We start from the raw sequence: 18,650 nt of genomic DNA on the forward strand, positions 1-18,650 counted from the left end.
CCTAATATATCTGCCAAGTAATCAGTTCATATTGTCATTGTTGGGAATAGTCTGATGATCTGACTTGGTTCCTGTACGGTCCAGTTTGTACATAAACATTTTTGTCCATAGGGACAGTGAGTGTTACTGATGCAGGTTGAGAGCTACAATGGCACTATCCAAAAACAAAACGAAAAACCCTACATGGAGCTTGTTCCTCTGCTGCATTATGCAGAGATGGGTCTCACCCCGTTCTTTCATGTGAGAATAAGCACCTTATTCATTATAGAAACATTGTGGGTGTTTCCTGTTACTCATAGCTGAATGCAGTCCCTCAGTTTATTTTGAATTATGTTTGAGTACATATGATTACAAACAATATACATGTCCTCCTCAAACAAAAGTTCTCTACACATTTCTTAGAAATATTAACAGTATGCAAGCAACTTGCATACTGTCTGGTGAGTTTTGTATTTATTGAGAATATATATTAAAATATCCCATTCCAATCATGGATCCGATAAACTTTATAATTAAGCTATTTGTCCAACATTGTGAGTCAATATTACTGTGAGCTTACAACTTCAGGCCTTTTTTTCCTCATAAATTTTAGTTTTCATGCTTATTTGATTACAACTTTTATGATGATAGTAGTTTTTCATATGCATAATACCAAAAGTCAAATCATGTTGTGAGTGATTTCTTTCCAAGGACTATCAGGGACGTCCCTGTTGTCAAGCAGGGTGTAATAAATTGTGGTAATAAATACTACCACAGGCCGGGCGCGGTGGCTCACCCTGTAATCCCAGCATTTTGGGAGGCCAATGCGGGCAGATCACTTGAGGCCAGGAATTGGAGACCAGCCTGGACAACATAGCAACACCCTGTCTCTACTAAAAATACAAAAATTAGCCTGGTGTGGTGGTGCACATCTGTAATCCCAGCTACTTGGGAGTGGAGGTTGCAGTGAGCCAAGCACGCCACTGCACTCCAGCCTGGGCAACAGAGTGAGACTCTCTCAAAAAATAAAAAAATAATAAATACCACCACAAACCAGTAATGACTGTAAGGTGTATCAATAAGAGGGTATTTAAAAGAATTTATTGCAGAACTTATGCTGCTTTTTGGTTGCTTGATTCCTATTTAAGGAAGCAAAAAATTTCTCTGTATTTGATATAGTGAAGAGGTGAACTTAATTCTACCCTTGGTAATTCTTTTTATTTTTGAGACGGAGTCTTGCTCTGTCACCCAGGCTGGAGTGCAGTGGCGCAATCTCAGCTCACTGCAAGCTCCGCCTCCCGGGTTCACGCCATTCTCCTGCCTCAGCCTCCCGAGTAGCAGGGACTACAGGCACCCACCACTACGCCCGGCTAATTTTTTGTATTTTTAGTAGACGGGGTTTCACCGTGTTAGCCAGGATGGTCTCGATCTCCTGACCTCGTGATCCACTGGCCTCGGCCTCCCAAAGTGCTGGGATTACAGGCATGAGCAACCGCGCCCGGCCCTAGTAATTCTTTTTTTTTTTTCTTTTGTGAGACAGAGTCTTGCTCTGTTGCCCAGGCTGGAGTTCAGTGATGCGATCTTGGCTCACTGCAACCTCCACTTCTCTGGTATAAGTGATTCTCCTGCCGCAGCCTCCAGCGACAGTGCCAGACTTCGTCTCAAAAAAAACCCAGAAAACAAAAAGACAAAAACCTTTCAGAATACTTCCTGAATGATCTGCCAGAGCCTGTTTTACAGCTTTTTTTCTGGAGGCGGAGGGGACATGGTCTTGCTCTGGAGTAGCTTGGATTACAGGTATGTGCCACGACACCTGGCTAATTTTTGTATTTTGAGTCGAGACGGGTTTTGCCATGTTGGCCACGCTGGTCTCAAACTCCTAGGCTGAAGTGATCGGCCCACCTCGGCCTTCCAAAGTGCTGGGATTACAGGTGTGAGCCACAGCACCCAGCTGAATATACATTTTTCTAAGGAAGATAAACAACTGAGCAAGGGGACCTGAAAAGATGCTGGACATCATTAAGTAAATGCTAAACAAAAAGGCAAGGAAATACCACTTCAAACCCACTAGGATGGGTAGAATGAAAAAGTGAGATAATAACACATGTCAAGGATATGGAGAACTTGGAACCCTCATACACTGCTGGTGAGAATGGAAAATAGAGCAGCCGCTTTGCTTTTTTGTTTGTTTTTTAAATTTTTCTTTTTTAAGAGATGGGGTTTTGCTCTGTAGCCCAGGCTGTCAAGGCTCACTGCACTCTCAAACTTCTGGATTCAAGAAATCCTCCCATCTCAGCCTCCTGAGTAGCTGAGAACACAGGTGTGCACCACCATGCCCAATTAATTTTTCTTTTTCTTTTAGAGATGGGGTTTTGCTCTTTTGTCAGGGCTGGTCATGAACTTTTGGGCTCAAGCTATCCTCCTGCCTTGGCCTTCCAAAATGCTGGGATTACAGGCATGAGCCACCGTGCCCTGCCAGGAGTTTCTTTTTTGAGGTAATGAAAATGTTCTAGGCCTGGCGCGGTGGCTCATGCCTGTAATCCTAGCACTTTGGGAGGCTGAGGCGGGCGGATCACGAGGTCAGGAGATCGAGACCATCCTGGCTAACACGGTGAAACCCGTCTCTACTAAAAAATACAAAAAATTAGCTGGGCGTGGTGGCAGGCCCTGTAGTCCCAGCTACTCGGGAAGCTGAGGCAGGAGAGTGGTGTGAACCCGGGAGGCGGAGCTTGCAGTGAGCCGAGATGGCGCCACTGCACTCCAGCCTGGGCGACAGAGCGAGATTCCGTCTCAAACAAGAAAAAAAGAAAATGTTCTAGGCCAGGTGCCGTGGCTCATGCCTGTAATCCCAGCAGTTTGGGAGACTGAGGCAGGTGGATCACTTGAGGTCAGGAGTTCAAGACCAGCCTGGCCAACATGGTGAAACCCCGTCTCCACTAGAAATACAAAAATCAGCCAAGCACAGTGGCGCGCGCCTATAATCCCAGCTACTCTGGAGGCTGAGGCAGAAGAATCGCTTGAACACCAGAATCGGAGGCTGTAGTGACCCGAGATCGCGCCATTGCATTCTGCACTCCAGCCTGGGCAACAGAGTGAGACTCCATCTCAAAAAAAAAAAAAAAAGAAAATGTTCTATAATTGACTGTGGTGATTATCTGTTTGCATCTTTGAATATACTTTACTGAATTGTACACTTAAAAGGGATGCATTGTGTAGTGTGTTTTATTCTGATATAGCTTTTCAAATAAATATGACTTCAGATTTTTGATTAATCTGTTAAGCATACTAAGAGTTTCCAGATATACCTTAATTTACATCACTTTTTATTGTTCATTTTTGTATCAGTGAAAATAGGGATTCAATTACCTTAGGTATATCATAGTCGTTTACATTTCAAAGTTCTCTGCGAACACAATCTGTAACCTATTTAAAATAAATTTTCCTGTAGTGTGAAATGTACACTTCAGAGTTTAATTGAACATATCTCACAGCTGTGGTTAGTCTGATAAGCGTCCTTGCATCCATGCTAGGGATGTGGGGTTCAAAGAGATTGTGTGTAAAAGGCTCTGGAGGCCAAGGGATTCTTTATTTAAAGTAAATGTGTGGGGATTGGGGAAGGAATGGGTGGAGGTCTCAATGCCGTTAGCCGTCAATGTCAGAATGGAGCTAGACTCATTACACACGGCGAAGTCACTTTTAAAGTGTCTGTGTTTGTGAACGGAGCTCACAGTTCCACGAGTGCCCTCTAGACTCAGGCCAAGTCCCTGGCCCCCGGAGGAGTCAGACCCTCTTGTTCCAATCTGGACTTGCCTGGGTGACCCTCTTGCTGTGGATTTGTTCCTTAAAGGGTCACTACATCTGGCAACTGAGGCTGGAATTCGCCGCGCACACTTTTGTCCCCGCGTTCAGAAACAGCTGCGACAGGATGCCAGAGTCCATCGAGAGGCTGGGAACAAGTTCGGCTTCTACTCAACTGCCCCTCGCTGGGACTGGTTTCCCCCCGGACTGAAGCAGGGTTTCCCCGGCGACATGACCTTTCGCAGCTCTGTCACTCCATGTGAAGAGGGCGGGGCTTCGTGAACTGTCCAATCAGAGGCGCCACGTGGAAGGTGGGTGGGGCAATGCGGCATAAAAGAGGTGGGCGTCGTACGTCGTTACGCAGCGCGGTTGCTGGGCACCTCGACTATCACCTGACCGTAGTAATATCTCCCGCTACGCGCGTTGTGACCAATGCTGCATACAGGAGATGAGGGAGGACGGCCAGACACCTGGAAGCCGGAAAATGGTGAGTGTGCGGGGCCGGTGTCCCGAGACCTGAGGAGGGACAGGTTGGAACCGGCCGGAACCGGCTGTGGCGGGACCCGGGGCTCCCCTCGGCGACTCTGGGGTCTGGGACCCGGGTCCCTCTGGCGCAGCTGGGCCCTCAGTGCCCTCGGCCGCAGAGTGGGGCTGGGCTGGCATCCGGGACCCCGGGCATCCTGTCCCGTTCCTGCGCGACGCCTGCGGCCCCGGCCTCAGCCTCGGCGCCCTCTCTGGGCAGCTGCACGCCGCAGCCTCGTGTCTCCCCAGATTGCACGGGAGCCCCGGGAGGGTCATGGGGAGGATTCCGACTCGTGTGTGGGGTTCGTGCGTGGGAGGAGCAGTGTTCTGTGTGATCCTCAGTCCCTCCTTTCTCCATAAAGGTCACCCATCTTCCCTTGAGGTTTCCAAATGTATGGAAAGCAGGGTGTCAAATCCATAATCCTGTCTCCAGACTATCTCTTCCTGGGGCTGGCAGTAAATTCCTAAGTTTGCGGATCCCTTCCCGCATTCCCAAAGTCTAACGCCCCCTCTCCAGTTCACAGCGTCATTGTCAATTGTTTGGCCTCTGGTGCATTTCACACGGACGCCGTGTTTCTCATTTTTCCGAAGAACCAGGGATGACTCGTTTTAACGGATTTATTTTTTGTTTGCGGATATTTTACATGGGAGGAAGGCAAAGAATACCCACCTGGAATTGTTACATAAATCCTTATGACTCTCCTTCCAGTATCTCTCCTGAGCACAGACACACTGCAGGAACTCTTGGGTTGGGGCTCCTCTTTGGAAACTTCCCTGGGTGACCTGTCTTTTTTAGCAGTTTCAGGTCGGCACTGCCCGTCCTTGACTTTGTATTCTTGAAAAGATTTGACCACTCACTTGTGTGTCATTTTCTTCATGTATCTGAAAGGTATATAATCAATAGCTACTAAAAGTATTATAATTTTTTATTTCTAATTTTTGTGGGTACATAGTAGGTGTATATATTTATGGAGTACACGAGATGTTTTGATGCAGGCATGCAACGTGAAATAAGCACATCGTGAAGAAAGGGATATCCCCTCAAGCATCTGAGTTGCAAACAATCCAGTTACACTCTATAAGTTATTTTAAAATGTACAGTTCTGTGTGGTTTTTTTTTCCACCCATTAATTGTCCTCTCCTTTCTCTCAGGCTCCCACTACCTTTCCCAGCTTCTAATAACCACCCTACTCTCTAAGTCCATGAGTTCAGTTGTTTGATTTTCTTTCTTTTTTTTTTTTTTTGGAGATGGAGTCTCTCTCTGTCACCCAGGCTGGAGTCCAGTGGCGCGATCTCGGCTCACTGCAAGCTCCGCCTCCCGCGTTCAAGCCATTCTCCTGCCTCAGCCTCCTGAGTAGCTGGGACTACAGGCACCCGCCACCATGCCCGGCTAACTTTTTTTTGTACTTTTAGTAGAGACGGGGTTTCACCGTGTTAGCCAGGATGGTCTCGATCTCCTGACCTCGTGATCCACCTGCCTTGGCCTCCCAAAGTTTTGGGATTACAGGCGTGAGCCACCGTGGCCGGCTTGTTTGATTTTTATAATAGATCCCACAAATAAGTGAGAAGATGTGATGTTTATCTTTCTGTGCTTGGCTGATTTCACTTAACATAATGATCTCCAATTCCATCCATGTTACAAATGACTGGATTTCATTCTTTTTTTTTTATGACTGAATAGTACTCCATTGTTTATATGTACCACTTTTTTTTTTTTTTTCCCGGCAGAGTCTCACTCTGTGCACTGGTGTGATTTTGGCTCACTGCAACCTCCGCCTACAGGGTTCAGGCGATTCTTGTGCCTCAGCCTCTCGAGTCACTGGGATTACAGGCATGTGCCTCCACACGGGGCTAATTTTTGTATTTTTAGTAGAGACGGGATTTCGCCATATTGGCCAGGCTGGTCTCGAACCCCTGATCTCAGGTGATCACCTGCCTCGGCCTCCCAAAGTTGTACCACATTTTAAAAATCCATTCATCTGTTGAGGGACACTTACATTGCTTCCAAATCTTAGCTATTGAAACAGTGCTGCTACAGATACTGGAGTGCAGCCATCCCTTCGATACACTGATTTCCTTTCTTTTGGGTATATTCCCAGCAGTGGGATTGCTGCATGGCATATGGTAGCTCAATTTTTAGTTTTTTGAGGAACCTCCAAACCGTTCTCCATAGTGGTTGTACTAATTTACATTCCCATCAACAGTATACAAAGGTTTCCTTTTCTCCACGTCCTCTCCAGCTTTTGTTATTGCCTGCCTTTTTGACTTAAGCCATTTTAACTGGAGTGAGATGATATCTCATTGTATTTTTTTTTTTTTTTTTTTTTTTTTGTATTTTTAGTAGAGACGGGGTTTCACCGTGTTAGCCAGGATGGTCTCAATCTGCTGACCTCGTGATCTGCCCGTCTTGGCCTCCCAAAGTGCTGGGATTACAGGCGTGCGCCACCGTGCCCGGCCTCATTGTAGTTTTGATTTGCATTTCTCTGATGATCACTTTTTCATATAAACACCTTTTTATATGCCTGTTCGCCATTCGTATGTCTTGTTTTGAGAACTGTCTATTCAAATCTTTCGTGCATTTTTTGATTGGATTATTAGACTTTTTTTCCTGTAGCGTTTGAGCTCCTTATATATTCTGGTTATATTAATCCCTTGACAGATGGGTAGTTTGCAAATATTTTCTCCCATTCTTTGCGTTGTGTCCACTTTGTTGATTGTATCCTTTGCTGTGCGGAAGCTTTTTAATTTGATGTGATCCCATTTGTCCATTTTTGCTTTGCTTGCCTGTGCTTGTTGGGTATTGCTCAAGAAATTTTTGCCTGGACCAGCGTCCTGGAGATTTTCCACAATGTTTTCTTGTAGCAGTTTCCTGATTTGAGGTCTTCAATTTAAGTCTTTAATCCATTTTGATCTGGTTTTTGTATTTGGCAAGAGATAAAGATCTAGTTTCATTCTTTTGCATATGGATATCCAGTTCCCAGTACCATTTATTGAAGAAACTGTCTTTTCCCCAGTGTGTATTCTTCACACCTTTGTTGAAAATGAGTTCACTCTAGTTGTGTGGATTTGTTTCTGGGTTCTCCCTTCTGTTCTGTTGCTCTATGTGTATGTCTTTATGCCAGTACCATGCTGTTTTGGTTACTATAGCTCTGTAATATAATTTGAAGTCTGGTAATGTGATTCTTCCAGTTTTGTTCTTTTTGCTTAGGATAGCTTTGGCTATTCTGTGTCTTTTGGGGTTCCATATCAATTTTAGGATTGTTTTTTGTATTTCTGTGAAGAATATCCTTGGTATTTTGATGGGGATTGCATTGAATCTGCAGATTGCTTTGGGTAAATGGACATTTTAACAATATTGATTCTTACAATCCATAAACATGGAATGTTTTTCCATTTTTTTGGTATCCTCTTCAATTTCCTTTATCAGTGTTTTATAGTTTTCATTATAAAGAGCTCTCACTTCTTTGGTTAATTCCTAGGTATTTAATTTTATGTGTGGCTATTATAAATGGGGTTACTTTTTAAATGTATTTTTCACATTGTTCACTGTTGGCATATAGAAATGCTACTGATTTTTGTTGATTTTGTATCCTGCAACTTTACTGAACTCGTTTATTCTTACAGTTTTCCTGTAGAGTCTTTAGGTTTTTACAAATATTAAGATTATGTCATCAAAAGTATAAAAAATTTTAAAGAGGCAAGAAAGAGGTGAATTTCATAAAAAATAAAACACTTCAGTATTACACTGAAATTGGTGAACATTTTTTTCTTTTTTTCTTCGCCTTAGGTTGTGTAGTAAGTTTCTGAGGTCTGTTCTTTTTTGTGTGGTGATTTCAAATGGAATTTCAGAGCATAGCCATACAACACCTAGAAGTATCCAAATATGATTATGAGAACATTTATTGCCATAGAAATAATAACTGAAATTTCTTTTTTTTTTTTTTTTTTTTTTGAGACGGAATCTTGCTCTGTCACCAGGCTGGAGTGCAGTGGTGCAATCTTGGCTCACTGCAACTTCTGCCTCCCGGGTTCAAGTGATTCTCCTGCCTCAGCCTCCTGAGTAGCTGGGACTACAGGCGCCACCACTATTCCTGGCTAATTTTTGTATTTTTAGTAGAGTCGGGGTTTCACCATGTTTGCCGGGATGGTCTCCATCTCTTGACCTCATGATCCGCCTGCCTCAGCCTCCCAAAGTGCTGGGATTACAGGCATGAGCCACCATACCCGGCCCAATAACTGACATTTCATTTTCTGCAAACAATAGACATTTGTGGATTTCAGGGACTAGGGCTGGTTTGCTAAGGTGCCTTACAATTTTCTTAACACTTTACACATCAATACTTGATTTGAGAGATTTTGCAGAATTCTTCAAACATTGGGTTTGTCTCAGTTAAAGTATCTGTTTAGGCTGGCTGTGTTGGCTCATGTCTAATCCCAGAACTTTGGGTGGCTCATGAGGCAGGAGGATTGCTTGAGTCCAAGAGTTCAAAATCAGCTTGGGCAACATGGCAAAATCCTGTCTTTACAATAAAATAAAAATACAATATCAGTGGTGGTCCAAAGTAACATCACTGCCCAAGCTAAGGCCACCCTTGAGCCTGCCAAGAGCAGTAATTAAAGGCCCTGTTGGTTCTTCTTGGGGAGCCTCCCTGTTCATACCATTAAGCCCTTTATACCAAGAGAAGCCACAGAGCACTGGAAAGCTGGGGATCCACATGCACATGTTTTGGGTGGAGGGGTTGCTTTCTGAGGTTGTAATTGTGGTTTTCTTGGGCGTGTTTTTTAGACATGAGGTTTGTTTTGCATTCACAATGTTGCCACATTCAGAGTATAATTCTTACATACTGAGAAAGCATGTGAAGTTCAGGAGTGCTGTCTCCAGGACACAGGGTTAATGAATTTCGGAGGTTATTTTTGGGCCAGAACCTTAAAGTAAATCCAGCTGAGAGTTTCTTCTGCCCAAGAATTGAAGCCTGGGAGAGGAAGTATTTTCACACTGCCAGGGGCCAGTTAGGGTGTACGGAGCTCCCAGAGTTCATTCCTGTGGCTACTCAAGTGTCTCTTCCCTTCATCACCAGGGACTATTCCACTCTAGAAGTTACATGTCAGAGGGAGAGCATGGACCTCAAGCATGTTAAGGTGTTTAACCTCTTGAATGTGGGTTTTCCTTGTGAATTGTGGGGAAGCAGCCTGCTTATCTGAGCTAATTAGAATATTTATGTTTCCTTTGGATTATTTTATCTGTTGAGCATTGTGGCCCTTCAACTCTGGTTTCCCTTATTTTATAATTTTATTGCCTGTGTCAGTGTGTAAGATTTTAGTTTCTTTCACTTTGAAAATGAAGGTTGTTAGATATGGTGGGAGTAAGCAAGAAAATTCTGGAACTAAACAAAATGTTTGTTTCTTGAGGCCAGAGAACCTCAAGATACGAGATGAGTATGTTTAAGTTCTCAGGTACTTTTTTCATTTTTAGATCAGTTTTTGTATGTGATTGTCCATAAAGAACTTTGAAATTTAAAAGGGTATACAGTTGCTAAGACAAATGACTTCCTGATTCCGTTGGTAAGAGGAAAACACAGTTGAATTCTTGTTTTAATTGATGTGAGGAAAACTACTAAAGTTTATATAATCTTTGAAACTCCTGCTATATTTAAATTAGGCCCAAATCCATAATGCATTTTATTTTATTTATTTATTTATTGAGACAGAGTCTCACTCTGTCGCCCAGGCTGGAGTGTAGTGGCACAATCTCGGCTCACTGCAACCTCCCAGTTCAAGTGACTCTCCTGCCTCAGCCTCCCCAGTAGCTGGGATTACAGCCGTGTGCCACCACACCCAGCTAATTTTTGTATTTTTAGTAAAGACAGCGTTTCACCATGTTGGCCAGGCTGGTCTCAAACCCCTGACCTCAAATGATCTTCCCACCGTGGCCTCCCAAGTTGCTGGGATTACAAGCGCGAATCACCACACCTGGCCCGGAATCCGTATTTAATGTTTGCTAACAACCTAAGACTCAGCGTTCCCTTTTTCCCTTGTGACCACACCTGGACAAGCTGATGAGTCTAAGGGCTCCCTTCTCTGTCATAGGCAAGAGATTTAAACCATGTAACTACATGCCCATACAGGGGATCTTGTGCCCAACTCTACCCCAACCACAGTAAACAACCAGGCCAGGCTCCTTTCTTTGCTCTCTCAGGCCATTTCAGTTATGCTTGATGGGTCTGTCCTGCTCTTCCCAAGATCTCAACAATGTGAGCAATAAGCCTTTTAATACCCCCTCTGTGAGTGCCAGACCATCATCAGTTTTGTCAGAACTATGTCTCTGAAGGTGACCACAATGATTGGTGCCGTGAGCATGTTGTCCAGACACTGATCACCACTTGTGGGTCCTTCATCTCTTTATTATTATTTTTTGAGATGGAGTCTCGCTCTGTTGCCCAGGCTGGAGTGCAGTGGTACGACCTCCGCTCACTGCAACCTCTGCCTCCCGGGTTCAAGCGATTCTCCTGCCTCAGCTTCCTGAGTAGCTGGGACTACAGGCATGTGCCACCACGTCCAGCTAATTTTTTGTATTTTTAGTAGAGACGAGGTTTCGCTATGTTAGCCAAGATGGTCTCAATTTCCTGACCTCGTGATCTGTCTGCCTTGGCCTCCCAAAGTGCTGGGATTACAGGCATGAGCCACCGCACCTGGCCTTTATTTTTTTAATTATTATTGTTATTATTATTTTTTGAGACAGAGTCTTGCTCTGTCACCCAGGCTGGAGTGCAGTGGTGTGATCTCAGCTCACTGCAACCTCTGCCTCCCAGGTTCAAGCAATTCTCCTGCCTCAGCCTCCTGAGTAGCTGGGATTACAGGTGTGCATCACCACGCCCGAGTTATTTTTGTAGATCTTCTCTTGCTCTGACTTGCTAACCCACTGTCCTGCCTGATGGCCAACATGTCCAGTGAGCTACTGCTGGCTAGAAAGCTGGTGCTTCGAGTGTGCTGCTCTGTGTTGCATGTTGAGCCCTACCAAGTATGGGTTCTATATTCAACTGACTGAGTCTGCCTTTTTAAAAATAATTCTTTGGCATTTAAGAGTAGGACTATGCTATTGGACCCCTCCTTCAATTGATGCTGGATCTATCTGTGTGTTTAGAGTGAAGCTGTGCCTGATGCTGGGTTGGCCCGGTGTGCAGGGTGCCAGGGTGCAGCGGGAGGGTGGACTATATACACCCTGTACAAGAGGTGCTCCTGAAACAGTAGTCATTTAAAGAGGAGAGAGAAAGGGAGGAAAGGCAGCCATCAGGTGGCGCACTGAGTCCACACCCCAAAAGGCAAAGGGCTCACCAGGACCTTAAGGACCTCTGCTGCTGCTGCTGCTGCTTCAGGTACCTTTATCACAACAAATATCCTGACCCTGGGGCATAGACGGGACAATATCCATGATTCCCCAGTGGCATAACAAAGGGGTTAGTTTAAACCTGACATAGGCTAGAGATCCTTAAACCCTATGAAGGAACTATTGCCATGGAGGAGGCCCCTAACTCTGATGACACTGAACTGAGCCTCTCTGGAGGAAAAAAAATTGTAACTGTCCCATTAGAGAAAGTACCCCTTTTCCTTGAAGTATATCCACTGACCAAAAAGAAAGAAAGAAAAATAAAAACATGGAAGGAAGGGAGGGAGGGATCTCTTGACCTCTTAAACTCTTAGCCTGGGGAACCTAGTGTGACCCCATGTCTCTCTTTTTTTTTTTTTTAAACAATGCTAGTAATAAGAGGGTTTAAACCTCTGTGGTTTACTGATTTACTCTATTAAAGTAACTTATCATACATATTTTTTATGTTTGTGGTGGGATGCTAAATATTAGGATGGGCATTGCTTTATTTTTTATTTATTTTTATTTTTTTATTATTTATTTATTTATTTATTTTTTGAGACGGAGTTTCGCTTGTTGCCCAGGCTGGAGTGCAATGGCACCATCTCGGCTCACTGCAACCTCTGCCTCCCGGGTTCAAGCGATTCTCCTGCCTCATCCTCCCAAGTAGCTGAGATTATAGGCGTGTGCCACCACGCCTAGCTAATTTTTTTGTATTATTAGTAGAGACGGGGTTTCACCATGTTGGCCAGGCTAGTCTCGAACTCCTGACCTCAGGTGATTCACCCGTCTCCTCTCAAAGTGCTGGGATTATGGGTGTGAGCCACTGCACCTGGCCGATTTTTTTTTTTTTTTTTTTGAGACAGAGTCTCGCTCTGTCTATCTAGCTGGAGTGCAGTGGCACCATCTTAGCTCACTGCAGCCTCCGCCTCCAGGGTTCAAGCAATTCTTCTGCCTCAGCCTCCCGAGTAGCTGGGATTACAGGCGCAGGCCACCATCCCTGGCTAATTTTTGTATGTTTAGTAGAGATGGGGTTTCACCATGTTGGCCAGGCTGGTCTCGAACTCCTGACCTCAAGTGATATGCCCAGCTTGGCTTCCCAGGGTGCTGAGATTACAGACGTGAGCCACTGCCCAGCCTGGGCATTGAGATAGGTCATATGCATAGGGCTCATATATGAGGTAAACAGTTTTTTCACAGAAGATGCATTAGTTGATCATACCAAAATTGGGAGTATGATACCTGAATTCATAAGAATAAAATTGTTAATAGAAGCATTTTAATAACAAAATTGTGTATATTTCCTTTTGTTGTTGTTTTTTGTTTTTGTTTTGAGATGGAGTCTCGCTCTGTTGCCCAGGCTGGAGTACAGTGGTGCAATCTCAGCTCACTGCAACCTCGGAGCCTCCTGGGTTCAAGCGATTTTCCTGCCTCAGCCTCTCGGATAGCTGGAACTACAAGTGCATGCCACTACGCCTGGCTAATTTTTATATTTTTAGTAGTGATGAGGTTTCTCCATTTTGGCCAGGCTGGTCTTGAACTCCTGGCCTCAAGTGATCTGCCCACCTCGGTCTCCCAAAGTGCTGGGATTACAGGTGAGAGCCACCATGCCTGACCATGTGTATATTTCTAGCGTGAAGATAGGTAATGTTCCTAGGACAATAGTAGCAGTTAGGGCATTTATTATAATAGTGTATTCTGCTATGAAAAATAGGGATAGTAGACATTGAAGGCCAAGACTAGTTCTGATTTGTTTTGTGTTAAGTCAAATGGGGCTCAGTTAGTTTCTGCTAGCATTGAAATGAATCCTACTATGGCCAGGGGTCATGTTGGTAGAATTAATTATCCAAATTCTTGTGTGATGATAAGAGTTGATAAAGTGACCCGCTTATCAAGAAAACTGTTAGGAGAATAATGGCTAAGTCAACTTCTGTGGGATTGTCTGGGCTACCGCTCGGATTGTGCCAATTAGTGCATATTTTGAATTGGATGCTCATCCTGATGATAAAATAGGGTAGATGCGGGAGGCAGAGGTTGCAATGAGCCGAGGTCGTGCCACTGCACGCCAGCGTGGACGACACAGCAAGACTCCGTCTCCAAAAAAAAAAGGGGGGGTGGTAGCTGGCTAAACTTGATGTGGCTAGAATAAATAATACTCCTATATTTATATTCAGAAATGGGGTATTAAGAAGTGGGGTGTAGAGAGAGGGATTCATATGCAAGGGTTAGGACGAGGTAGGTGTGATGGTGTAAAGGAGGATGGATGGCATTAGTGATTGTGGTGGTTCTTTTCTTTGTTTCTTTCTCCTTTTCTTTCTTTTCTCTTCTCTCTCTCTCTTTTCTCTCTTTCATATCTCTTTCATTTTGAGATGGAGTCTTGCTCTGTCTCCCAGGCTGGAGTGCAATGATGCGATCTCGGTTCACTGCAACCTCCGCCTCCCAGGTTAAAGCGATTCTCCTGCCTCAGCCTCCCGAGTAGCTGGGACTACAGGCGTGCACCCCCTCGCCTGGCTAATTTTGTATTTTTAGTAGAGACGGGGTTTCTCCATGTTGGTCAGGCTGGTCTCGATCTCTTGACCTTGTGATCTGCCCACCTCAGCCTCCCAGAGTGCTGGGATTACAGGCATGAGCCACTATGCCTGGCTATAAGAATTTACAAAACAAAAATGTTACGTCTGCTTGGCCTTGGGGCCTGTACAAGATAGATTCTGAATTAATTTTGACATCTGCTCTAATGCATTAGTTGATAACCCTTTATGGGATTAATCAATACTAGGACTCAAATTATAGTTATACCTGGGTATCCCACTAAATTTAAGCAAGATACCCCTGATAATCTTATAAGTTACTGAATATAAAGTGGAGCACAAATTAGATATTGCTCACTTTAACCAACAGAATAGTTTTTTTCATGCCTAAATTCTCAGTTCCTCATTGTCATAGCACTTATTGCCCTAAAATATTCCATAGTGAGAGAAGGTCTGAACCAATGAGTCATGAATTTAAATGGTCTTTTAAATTAAACTTTTTTTTTTTTTTTGAGACGGAGTCTTGCTCTGTTGCCCAGGCTGCAGTGCAGTGGTGCAATCTCGGCTCACTGCAACTTTCGCCTCCCGGGTTCAGGCAATTCTCCTACCTCAGCCTCCTGAGTAGCTGGGATTACAGGCACCCGCCACCACGTTCAGCTAATTTTTGTATTTTTAGTAGAGACAGGGTTTCACCAGGTTGGTCAGGCTGGTCTCAAACCCCTGGCCTCGTGATCCACCGGCCTCGGCCTCCCAAAGTGCTGGGATTACAGGCATGAGCCACCGCACCCGGCCTAAACTTCTTTATTTATTTTTATATTTTGTAGAGACAGAATCTCACTATGTTGCCCAGAGTAGTCTTTTTGTTTGTTTGTTTGTTTGTTTGAGAGAGTGTCTCGCTCTGTCGCCCAGGCTGGAGTGCAGTGGAGCAATCATGGCTCGCTGCAGCCTTGACCTCCTGGGCTCAAGCAATCCTACCGTCTCAGCCTCCCAAGTAGCTGGGACTACAAGCACGCACCACCATGCCCAACTCACTTTTATATATTTTGTAGAGACAGAATTTTGCCATGTTGCCCAGGCTGACAAGTGGGCATTTCTTTTTTTCTTCTTTTTTTTTTTTTTTAAAAATAACTTTTATTTTAGGTTTGGGGGTACATGTGAAGGTTTGTTACATTGGTGAACTTGTGTCATGGGGGTTTGTTGTACAGATTATTTCATCACCCAGATACTAAGCCCAGTATCCAATAGTTATGTTTTCTGCTCCTCTCCCTCCTCCCACCTTCCACTGTCAAGTAGACCCCATTGTGTGTTGTTTCCTTCTTTGTGTTCATCAGTTCTCATCATTTAGCTCCCTCTTATAAGTGAGAACGTGCAGTATTTGGTTTTCTGTTCCTGCATTAGTTTGCTAAGGATAATAGCCTCCAGCTCCATTCATGTTCCTGCAAAAGACATGATCTCATTCTTTTTTTATAGTTGCATAGTATTCCATGGTGTATGTGTACCACATTTTCTTTGTCCAATCTGTCATTGATGGGCATTTAGGTTGATTCCATGTCTGTGCTATTGTGAATAGTGCAAGCTGGCATTTCTAAAGGTAAGCAGTCTTAGGAGTGTTATATGAACTTCTGTCTGCACACTAGGTAGTAGGACTTTGTGATGACAAGGTCTGCAGGTGCATTGTAGGAGAGGACTTGGGTGCTTCCAGTTTTTCATTGTGTGTGTTTTGTTTTTGTTTTTTTTTTTGCTTTGTTTTTGTTTTTTTGTTTGTTTTGTGACAGGGTCTTACTGTGTTGCCCAGGCTGCTCTCAAACTCGTGGCTCTAGTGATTCTCTGCCTCAGCCTCCTGAGTAGTCACTGTTTTTATTCATTAAAATCTTGTCTAGATTCAACTGTTTGCTTCATAGACTGTTATGTGATATGGTAGGTAATATGAGAAGAGAGAAAAGAGTTTTTCTCACAAGGTGCTGAAGCATCTTATTGCTTCTTTAGTGTACCATTTCTGTCATTTCACCAAGGTGCCTTCTACCCTGTCATTAGCAGTAAGATGTGAAGTGATCACAGCAAAAATGTAGAAATAATTTCCATGTCTCCATGATGCTGGTGAATTTATGAGTGGCTGTGGGCAGAGAATGTCTTCTGATGACATAGTAATAAAATAAATATTTTGGGATCACAGAGTCATGTGATTATCTTACAAATTGATTATAGATCCCCAGCCCTGTCAGTCTCACCCATTTTCCTCTACACATATGTGGGATGTTTTAGGACTCAGTGGCCTTTGAGGATGTGGCAGTGAACTTCACCCAGGAGGAGTGGGCTTTGCTGGATCCTTGGCAGAAAAAACTCTACAGAGATGTGATGCTGGAAACCTATAGGAACCTGGCTTCAGTAGGTGATGACGACAACATTCCTTCACTTAGAGAACAAGTTGCCCATCAACGATATTTCAAGACCTGGCATGTGGAAAGGGAATACTTCAGTAAATAAACCAAGCATGGTGACAGCTAATTAGATCTAGAATCTAATAGTTTTTCTATAATTAATAATGATTTCCAATGATTTTTCTGGGTCTGCATCATAGGGAAAAAATGTGAAGAGCATAACATTGAAGATCAGTCCAAAAACCAAGAAAGAAGTCTAAGGTGAGTGGCACTAATAAGAGTTCCATGAGAGAGACTTAGTGTGTCATGAAGTTTTAAAAACAAGCAAAGAAAACAAATAAGCCCACCTTCAAATGTGGCTTATTCTTGGAAAATTTTTACCCAAAGTGTTTACTTAAATATGACATAGATATTCAGTGTTTGAAAAGTAGTTCATTTGATAGCAATATTAAGAAACTCCATTTATGAATATTACTGTTTTGATATTACCTGTGGTTGAGCCCTCTTCCAGAACATTCAGTCTATTCATCTTCAAACAATTCAGGCAGGACTGAAGTTTTAATTTCTGAAAATGGTAAAAAATGTAATTCCTTTACCTATTAATAAATATAAAATCTTTACTAAAGAAATCATTATCATTTCTTACAAAAGTCATGTATTGTAGACAGACTGTGTGTGAAAATAGATGGATTAGCTAATCAAAGTGAAGAAAACTTCAGCCAGATCTAAATTTTAATCTGAGTATGAAAACTCCTCCTGGAGTAAATCCATGTGAATGCAGTGTGTGTGGAAAAGTCTTCATTTGTCATTCATCCCTTAATAGGCACATCAGATCTCACACTGGACACAAACCATATGAGTGTCAAGATTATGGAGAAAAGCCGTATAGATGTAAGGAATGTGGGAAGGCCTTCAGTTATTTCCAGTCATTTAAAAAACATGAAAGAAATCACAGTGAAGAGAAACCCTATAAATGTAAACAATGTGGGAAACCCTTCAGTTATCGTCAATCTGTTCTTAGACATGAAAGGACTCACACTGGAGAAAAGCCCTATGAATGTAAAAAATGTGGAAAAACCTTCAGTACTCTTACAGGTTTCCAAATACATGAAAGAACTCACACTAGAGAGAAACCCTATGAATGTAAGGAATGTGGAAAAGCCTTTATTTACCTTGCAAGCTTTCAAAGACACATGATAATGCACAGTGGAGATGGACCTTATAAATGCGAGGAGTGTGGAAAAGCATTCAGTTGTCCTAGTTCATTTCAAGTACCTGAACGAATTCACACTAGAGAAAAACCATATGAATGTAAACAATGTGGTAAAGCCTTCAGTTGGCTTGGTTCCTTTCGAGTACATGAAAGAACTCACACTGGAGAGAAACCCTGTGAATGTAACGAATGTGGGAAAGCCTTCATTTATCGAACTACGTTAAAAGGACACATGAATATTCACACTGGAGAGAAACCTTATAAATGTGAACAATGTGAGAAAGCCTTCCTTTCTCTTGCAAGCTTTCAAATGCACATGATAATGCATACTGGAGATGCACCTTATAAATGTAACGAATGTGGGAAAGCATTCAATTGTCTTAATTCATTTCAAATCCATGAAAGGACTCACACTGGAGAGAAACCGTATGAATGTAAACAATGTGGTAAAGCCTTCAGTTGTTCCAGTTCCTTTAGAATACATGAAAGAAGTCATAGTGGAGAGAAACCCCACGTATGTAAACGATGTGGTAAAGCCTTCATTTGGCACAATTCCTTTTGAATACATGAAAGAACCCACACTGGAGAGAAACCCTATGTATGCAAGCAGTGTGGCAAAGCTTTCATTTATTGTACAACTTTTCAAGGACACATGAGAATGCACACTGGAGAGAAGCCCTATAAAGTGTAAAGAATGTGGAAAAGCCTTCAGTCATCCCAGTTCATTTAGAAGCCATGAAAAAATACACCCTGGCAGAAAACTTCTTGAATGTAAGTAAAGTGGGAGTTTTCAACTTGCCCACCTCCTTACAAAAACATGCAATAAGAATGTGCTAGATATAAAGCTTACAAATGTGAGAAATACAGGA

General features: G+C 43.2%; 1 pseudogene across 2 annotated transcripts in view, besides 1 other annotated feature; it reads left to right on the forward strand.

Annotated features, from left to right (window-relative positions):
* The window catches only part of LOC100289333 (uncharacterized), a 43,633-nt pseudogene continuing 29,118 nt past the window's right edge, over positions 4,136–18,650 (forward strand). The window contains exons 1-2 of one of the 2 annotated variants that reach the window (NR_104179.1): positions 4,136–4,264; positions 16,453–16,695. The product of NR_104179.1 is annotated as an uncharacterized LOC100289333, transcript variant 1 (transcript). Of the gene's footprint in view, positions 4,265–16,452; positions 16,696–18,650 lie in introns of those variants that run through there. The other variant, NR_171708.1, reaches the window with a different exon arrangement.
* Positions 13,622–13,790: a silencer, noted in NCBI's record as "fragment chr19:12315316-12315484 (GRCh37/hg19 assembly coordinates)". NCBI's record gives its function as "represses an EF-1alpha promoter that drives an FKBP-Casp9 reporter gene in an ReSE screen in HepG2 liver carcinoma cells {active_cell/tissue: HepG2}" and the evidence as "EXISTENCE:reporter gene assay evidence [ECO:0000049][PMID:32094911]".

This window comes from Homo sapiens, chromosome 19 (genome assembly GCF_000001405.40).
Source record: "Homo sapiens chromosome 19, GRCh38.p14 Primary Assembly".
In the NCBI taxonomy this organism is placed as follows: domain Eukaryota; kingdom Metazoa; phylum Chordata; class Mammalia; order Primates; family Hominidae; genus Homo; species Homo sapiens.